The 8,199-nt window shown below is 44.9% G+C and overlaps 1 protein-coding gene across 26 annotated transcripts in view, besides 2 other annotated features; it reads left to right on the top strand.

The window, feature by feature from the left end:
* Positions 1 to 10: 10 nt before the first annotated feature.
* ZNF320 (zinc finger protein 320) overlaps positions 11 to 8,199 on the top strand; it is a 44,830-nt gene continuing 36,641 nt past the window's right edge. For 15 of the 26 annotated variants that reach the window (XR_002958275.2, XM_047438310.1, NM_001387571.1 and 12 more), the window contains exon 1: positions 6,696 to 6,811. The gene's annotated coding sequence lies outside the window, so the exon portion shown is untranslated. The other 11 variants (XM_024451397.2, NM_001351777.2, NM_001387570.1 and 8 more) reach the window with 4 other exon arrangements.
* Positions 6,682 to 6,761: an enhancer, noted in NCBI's record as "active region_15059". NCBI's record gives its function as "activates an Ori minimal core promoter by ATAC-STARR-seq in GM12878 lymphoblastoid cells {active_cell/tissue: GM12878}" and the evidence as "EXISTENCE:reporter gene assay evidence [ECO:0000049][PMID:35858748]".
* Positions 6,962 to 7,161: an enhancer, noted in NCBI's record as "active region_15058". NCBI's record gives its function as "activates an Ori minimal core promoter by ATAC-STARR-seq in GM12878 lymphoblastoid cells {active_cell/tissue: GM12878}" and the evidence as "EXISTENCE:reporter gene assay evidence [ECO:0000049][PMID:35858748]".

The raw sequence follows: 8,199 nt of genomic DNA, 5'->3' as shown, positions 1-8,199 counted from the left end.
GCCGAGGCAGCCCTTTAGGTGGCTTAGGCCTGCCCTGTGGAGCATCCCCGCGGGGGACTCTGGCCAGCCTGAGTGACACGATCCAAAGAGCGCTCCTGGGTAGGAAATTGCCCCAATGGAATGCCTCGCCAGAGCGGTGCATAGCAGGCCCCCACGGAGGATTAACGCAGTGGCTGAACACCAGGAAGGAACTGGCACTTGGAGTCCAGACATCTGAAACTTGGTAAGACTAATCTTTGGAACTTGCCCCACTCCACCTGAGTGGAAGCGTGGCCTGATCACCCACAGCATGCCTGTATTGGCACTTTTGTCCTGGTTTTGACTTGGCTTTACTTAGTAAGACTAGTCTTTGGAACTTGCCCCACTCCATCTGAGTGGAAGCGTGGCCTGATCACCCACAGCATGCCTGCATTGGCACTTTTGTTCTGGTTTTGACTTGATTTGAATTGTTAGATACTTTAGTTTTGGTTTTGACTTGGCTTGAATTTTTTAGTACTCAGATTTTGAATTTCATGATTTTGGTTTGGTATAAACGGTAAAAGTGCGTGTGTGTGCCCTCTTTACCCATTCTTGTGGTGAGTATGTGTGGTGTGAGCATGGCATTTTGTCTCAGAAGAAAAAAAAAACATAGTTCAGGCACAAAGTAAGCCCACCCCACTAAGAAATATGTTAAAGAATTTCAAGAAAGAATTTAAAGGAGATTATGGTGTAACTGTGACCCCAGGAAAACTTAGAACTTTGTGTGAAATAGACTGGCCAGCATTTGAGGTAGGTTAGCCATCAGAAGGAAGCCTGGATGGGTCCCTAGTTTCAAAGATATGGCACAAGGTAACCTGTAAGCCAAGGCACCCAGACCAGTTTCAGTACACAGACAGTTACACCTGGTTTTAGACCTCCTCCCCCCGCCCCCCACAGTAGTTAAAAGAACAGCAGCATAAGTGGCTGGCAGAGGCAAGAAAAGACCAGCAGAGAGAAAAAGAGGCCATCTATACCAATTCTAAGTTAATTTAGACTAAACAAGGTCTTATTAATAGCAAAGGATAATTGAAGTCCCAAACTTACAAGGTTTTCAACAAAAGTGAAGTTTGCTAAAAGTTAACAGCGTAGCATGTATTATAGTAACTTCTAATCTGGTAGCCTTAGACAGTCTAGTCCAAAGACATAAAGTTTGCTTTAAAAAATTTTTTTATGCAAAAAATGTATAATTTAAAAGTAATAAGGCCTCCTATTATTGAAGAAACAGTTTATGTACAAGGTGTATAAGAAAAGTAAAATATACCTATAGTAAAAAGATTATAAGGAGGCATAAGAATGTGGATTTTTACCTATATTAAAAAGTTAAAAAAATTATTGTTTGAAAGTTTAAGCAAGTTTTAAAACATTAATTGTAAAGAAAATTCTGTGTGTAAACATATTAGCTAAAGTTAAAAAGGTATCATCCAGTTTTTCTGTGAAACGGACATCAAAGTAAAAATGCAACAGGTTTTTTCTTAAAGCATCAACCTGCTCTTTAACAAAAATTACAAAAAGTTAAAAAGAGTCTACAAAATCTAACCTTATGGTCAAACATGAAAAATTAGATAAATATGTCTACAAAGTTTCATTAAAATTAAATTTAACATTAGTAACACACTAATATAAAAGTAAAATTTAGCTTATCTGGTATAAAAATCATACAAGAAGCATTATTAAATATAAAATGGTGTTCAGCTTTCTTTGGTCTAAAAACTAATAAAAATCGGTGCTAAAGGAAGCATTCATTTTACTAGAGGATGATAGAAGTTAAAGACTTAAAACAAACTTTGGCAATTGAGACAGCATACCAAGATGCAAATGCCTGGTTGAAATAGATCAAATATTCCATCTGCACATTAAACAAAAGCAATTGTTATGCTTGTGCACATGGCAGGCCAGAGGCCCTGATTGTCCCCCTTCCACTAAGGTGGTCCTGTAGTTGACCAGGTGTGGGCTGCATGGTAGCTCTTTTCCAGGATTCTACAGCCTGGAGTAACATATAGCTCTCTCTGCTATATCCCGAAGTCCCTGCGGATCAGCCCCCGAGGGCCTTCCAGCTTCCGTCTCCCAATACTAAGTTCACTTCTTGTATCTCACGGCAGAGAGGAGATTTAGCATTCCTTGGAGACCTGAAAGGATGCAGTGAGCTTAAGAATTTTCAAGAGCTTATCAATCGGTCAGCCCTTGTTCATCTCTGAGCAGATGTGTGGTGGTATTGTAGTAGACCTTTAGTAGGCACTCTGCCGAATAACTAGAGTGGCACTTATGGTTTAGTCCATTTCACCCTGGTATTTCATCAACCAGAAAAAAAAAAAAGAAAAACTCATGTCAGCCCCAGCCCTGAGGCTACCTGACCTGACAAAACTCTTTGCACTCTATGTGTCAGAAAGAAAAAAAAAAATGGCAGTTGAAGTTTTAACCCAGACTGTAAGGCCCTGGCCAAGGCCAGTAGCCTGACTCTCAAAACAACTAGACGAGGTTTCCCAAGGCTGGCCCCCATGTCCAAGGGCCCTGGCAGCAATGGCCCTGTTAGCACAAGAAGCAGATAAGCTAACTCTTAGGCAAAACATAAACATAAAGTCCCTTTAATAAATAACAAAAGACATCATTAGCTAATAAACGCTAGACTAACTAGATACCAAAGCTTGCTCTGTGAAAATCCCCACATAACCATTGAAGTTTGCAACACCCTAACCCCGCCACCTTACTCCTAGTATCAAAGAGCCCAGTTAAACATAACTGTTTAGAGGTGCTGGACTCAGTTTATTCTAGTGGGCCCAACCTCTGAGACCACCCTTAAACATCAGTAGACTAGGAGCTGTACGTAGATAAGAGCAGCTTCGCCAACCCCTGCAAAGTGACTCTGAAGAAGATGACAAGCCCTGCTGCAGTCACACCCGGAAGCTGACTGGTCCACGCACGACTGAAGCAGGAAGAAACTCATCGCAGGACTCATTTTCCTTAAAATTTAGACTTGTACAGTAAGGACTTCAACTGACCTTCCTCAGACAAAGAACTGTTTCCAGTATCTACATCAAGTCACTGAAGTTAGACAAAAGATTGCTACAGTCCTATTATTTTATAGTTATTATAAGTGTACCAGGATTCTAAAAGAAATTTGTTTGTATAATGCTATTCTATCCAAAGTATGTAGCCCAAGGAATAACCAACCTGATGTGTGTTATAACCCATTTTAAGCCTCCCATGATTACAGTTTTTAAAATAAAATTAAAGACTAGTCTTTTTCTAAGTGACACAAGTAAAATAATAGCTAGAACAGAAGAGGGGTCCCCAAAAATATAACCTTAAAATTTGATGCTTGTGCCACTATTGATAGTAAGCAGCATAGAATAAGATGCAGTTCTCTAAATTAGAAAAAAAGTTACACAGTTAAAAAAAAAAATAAGTATATCTGTCAAGAATCATATTTATGTGAGATGTGTCAATACTAGTCTTATGTCATTTGGGCTACTTAAAAAGAAGATAAAAATAATCCTGTTTAGCTCCAAAAAAGAAAAGTCAGCCCCTCTTGCATGAGTGGGGGCTGCAGCCTTTTAAAATTGATAATCACAAACCCATCAGACCCAAAGTACAATTAAAAAAAAAATGTAAATTAAGCATTGATGAAAAAAAACTAGATCCTAGCGTAAACATCCTAATAAAAAAAGAAGTTGAAAAATGCTCTCCAGAACCAGTATTTCAGGCTTTCTATGATGAAATAAATGTGCCAGTACCTAAGATTCCAGGAAAAACTAAAAATTTGTTTTTGCAATTAGCCTAACATGAGGCCCAGTCTCTACAAGTCACCTCATGTTATGTTTGTAGAAGAACTGTAACAAGAGATCAATGGCCATAGGAAGCCCGAGAATTAGTTCCTACAAACCCAGTTCCTGATGAATTCCCAGCCCAAAAGAACCACCCTGACAATTTTTAAGTTCTAAAAGTCTCAATTATTAGACGGTATTGCATAGCTAGAGAAAGAAAAAAATTCACTCATCATCCTGTAAGGCGGCTTAGTTGTCTTAGGCAAAAGTTGTATAATAGTACCACAAAAACAGTTACATACTAAAGTTCCAGTTACACAAAAAGAAATCCATTCAGTAAATTTCCAAAGTTGCAGACTGTTGAGGCCCACCCGGAATTCCACCAGGACTAGACGGCCCCCACCAGGTTATACCAGATACATAGACAGAGCTCATGCTAAGCTGCCTGATCAGTGGACAGGTAGCTGTGTAATTGGCACCAGTAAGCCATCTTTCCTCTTACTGCCCATAAATACAGGTGAACTTCTAGGCTTCCCAGTCTATGCTTCCTGTGAAAAACGAAGCATAGCCATAGGTAATTAGAAAGATGATAAATGACCTCCTAAAGAATTATATAATACTGTAAGCCTGCCACTTAGACACAAGACAGCTCATGAGGTTATCGAACCCCCATCTACATGCTCAACCGAATCATACAGTTGCAAGCTGTTTTAAAAATTATTACTAATAAAACCGGTCAAGCCTTGACTGTTCTTGCCCGGCAAGAGACTCTGATAAGAAATGCTATCTATCACCGGGCGCGGTGGCTCACGCCTGTAATCCCAGCACTTTGGGAGACTGAGGCGGGCAGATCACAAAGTCAGGAGATCAAGACCATCCTGGCTAACACAGTGAAACCCCGTCTCTACTAAAAATACAAAAAATTAGCCGGGTGCGGTGGCAGCACCTGTAGTCCCAGCTACTAGGGAGGCTGAGGCAGGAGAATGGCGTGAACCCGGGAGGTGGAGCTTGCAGTGAGCTGAGACTGCACCACTGCACTCCAGCCTGGGTGACAGAGCGAGACTCCATCACCAAAAAAAGAAAAAGAAATGCTATCTATCAAAATAGACTAGCTCTCGACTACTTGCTAGCAGCTGAAGGAAAAGTTTGTAGAAAATTTAACCTTACTAATTGTTGTCTACACATAGATCATCAGAGGAAAGTAGTTGAAGACATAGTTAAAAATATAACAAAACTGACACATGTACCCGTACAGGTGTGGCACGGACTCAATCCAGGAGCCATGTTTAAAAATTAGTTCCCAGCAATAGGAGGATTTAAAACTCTTATAATAAGAGTTATAATAGTAATAAAAAGCTGCTTACTGCTCTCTTGTTTGCTACCTGTACCTCTTCAAATGATAAAAAGCTTCATCGCTACCTTAGTTCACCAAAATGATTCAGCACAAGTGTACTATATGAATCACTATCAATCTATTACACAAAAAGACATAAGTAGCAAAAACAAGAGTAAGAACTCCCACTAATAAAAAGTGAGACTCTCAAAAAGAAGAAATAAAGGAAGACAGAGACCCTCTCATATTGTTTTATACTCAGTACCTGTTTTAAGAAAAAACAACAAGAAAGTAAAACCAAAGACAGGCAGCCCCGGGGCCAGGCCCGAAACCAGGCCTGGGCCTGCCTGGCCTAAACCCAGTAGTTAAAAATCAACTTATGGCTTAGAACCCAATGTTATTCATAGATTCCAGACATTGTATAGAAGAACATTGTAAAACTCCCCGCTCTGTTCTGTTTCTCTCTGACCACCGGTGCATGCATCCCCTGTCACGTACCGCCTGCTCGCTCAAATCAATCACGACCCTTTCATGTGAAATCTTTAGTGTTGTGAACCCTTAAAAAGGACAGAAATTGTGCATTCAGGGAGCTCGGATTTCAAGGCAGTAGATTGCTGACGCTCCCAGCTGAATAAAGCCCTTCCTTCTACAACTCAGTGTCTGAGAAGTTTTGTCTGCCGCTAGCCCTGCTACACACTGTTACAATGTCAATGCTTTTTTTAAAAATCCCTTTTTTTCTTATTGAGGCGGAGGAAGGAGCTCTGGGGTAGAGGGTCTTACTTTGTCGCCCACGCTGGCCTGGACCTCCGGGCTCAGCGGTCTTGCGGCTCCTGCTTCCTGAGTAGCCGGGACCCCAGACTCGCCACCTCGCCCACATCCCTGCTGTGTTTAAGCAGGAGGTGGTGACCTCACTCCTCCCTGGCCTGAGGCCTCCGCTCCGCACCCCAGGCGGTGGCCCTGAGGAAGTCTCTGGAGCTGAGCACAGGGTGGATTCTCCCACCCCAGTGAATGGAAAATAGAAAGGGAGAGGATTTGCTATTCTGTTCTGTGGGCCGTCAGCAGGAAATTGGAGGTTTCGCTGAGGCAGAGCTTTGTATTTCGCATTCTAGTTTGCATTCCTTCCCTTGACAACTTCCAGATTTTGGACATAAATTGCTAAAATTAATTTCAATAGCAAGGAACTTTCCTGGGTCCAATGACCGCCTCACGTTGACTTCTCAGGGAGGTACTATTTCAATGACTGCTGAGCTGCTCCAGCCTCACTGGCGGCTTTCGCCTCCAAAACCTGGAAAAAAGGCGCAGAGAGCGAGATGGAGGAAAGCTCAGGACCCACCCGCTTCTCGCCCCCGCCGACCCCTCATAGCCCAGGACTCTTCTCCCAGCCAGGCCCCTTGTTTCTCAACCCCGCCCCGGCCTTGTTCAGGCCCCGCCCACCTCTTCGCGTCTCATCCCGGCCTAGTCCAGGCCCCGCCTACCTTCTCGGGGGTCCCGCCCAGGCCTGGCCTCTGTCCTGCGCTGATTGGCATAGACCCGGAAGCGGATGGCAGGGACTGAAGGTCACACCACAGCGCGTGAGTTTCGCTCTGTTTTATGTGTGCTTCCCAGTCCTGTGGTGCTGCTATACCGGGGACGTTGAGTCCCCACAGACCTGGAAATTGCGGCCCCTCTTTCTCAACCCAGAGCAAATTGAGACGTCCGGGTGAGAGTCCGTGAGTCCCTTCGAGTTTAAAGTGGCCCTGAGGCAGGTCCCGTCCTCGGTCTTTCTGCAGTGGGGTCGTGCAGACACCTCCTATCGCGGAATTTTCCTTCTCAAAACCCTTCCTGACCTGTCCTCCCGCCTCGCGCTGTTTCAAGTCCTCACCCGCGAGCTGGATTCCAGCCCTAGGCGCCTCCCACCGTCGCTCTCGGCGGCTTCAGGAGCGCCGCGCCTCAACCCCGGTTCCCGGGAGGCCGCGTCCTCTGCCTGGTCCTAAGATCCTGCAGACGCCACCCCTGTCCGAAGGCTCCGTCGCTCCCCACCTCCCTCCTTGTGCGGTGTTGCTACCTAGTTCCAACTCCTGGAAAACGAATATATGCAATCAAGAAAGCACTCCACAGAGGGGAGTGGGCCCGAGCCAGCGTCTCCGGGGACCCGTTTAGAAAGTTTTAGGGGGTTAAAGTATTTATTTTGAGGTCCCTATGGGCTACCCCTTATCTGGATGAAGGATTTTTGGCCCTTGGCCAACGAAATGCTGAGGTGAATTGGCCCGAGGCCGGAGCAGATGGGTGCCCTATGCAGATGAAGGTGTGGCCGGTGCTTGGCCATGGCCACTCCTGGGCTCTTTCCCTTTCTGAGACGTGGTGGAAGGAGGAGGGCGGTAGGGACAGCGGCCTTTGATCCTTTGTTACTCCGGATGGGGAGATGGGGTTTTTCCTTTTTGTCTAGTTTTAGAAAGTTTGCCTTAATTGGCCTTAGATTCGCTGCCCCCAGACCCAGGACCCAGGTATTTCTTTTTTATTCTTTTTTATTGGAGATGGGGTCTCACTCTGTTGCCCAGGCGGGAGAGCGGTGACAGGATCACAGCTCACTGCATCATCAACATCCTATGCTCAAGCGATCCTGTCACCTCAGCCTGCAGAGTAGCTGGGACCACAGCCGCGCGCCACCACACCGCGCTAATTTTTGTGTACTTGGTAGAGACGGGCTTTTGCCTTGTTGCTCAGGCTGGTCTCCAACTCCAGGGCTCAAGCGATCCAGCTGTATCGCCCTCCCAAAATGCTGGAATTACAGGCATGAGCCACCATGCCCGCCTTGTTTCTTAATTAAAAAATAAATAAATAAAAATAAAGGCCGTGTGCAATGGCTCATGCCTGTAATCCCAGCACTTTGGGAGGCCAAGGCGGGCAGATCACCTGAGGTCAGGAGTTCGAGACCAGCCTAGTCAACATGGCGAAATCTCGTGTCGAATAAAATACAGAAATTAGCCAGGTGTGATGTCGGGCGCCTGTAATCCCAGCTACTCAGGAGGCTGAGGCAGCAGAATCCCTTGGACAGGGAGGGGGAGGTTGCAGTGAGCTGAGATCATGCCACTGCACTCCAGCCTGGGG

The sequence above is a fragment of the Homo sapiens genome, chromosome 19 (assembly GCF_000001405.40).
Source record: "Homo sapiens chromosome 19, GRCh38.p14 Primary Assembly".
In the NCBI taxonomy this organism is placed as follows: Eukaryota; Metazoa; Chordata; class Mammalia; order Primates; family Hominidae; genus Homo; species Homo sapiens.
This window is presented reverse-complemented; position numbering and strand designations above follow the sequence as displayed.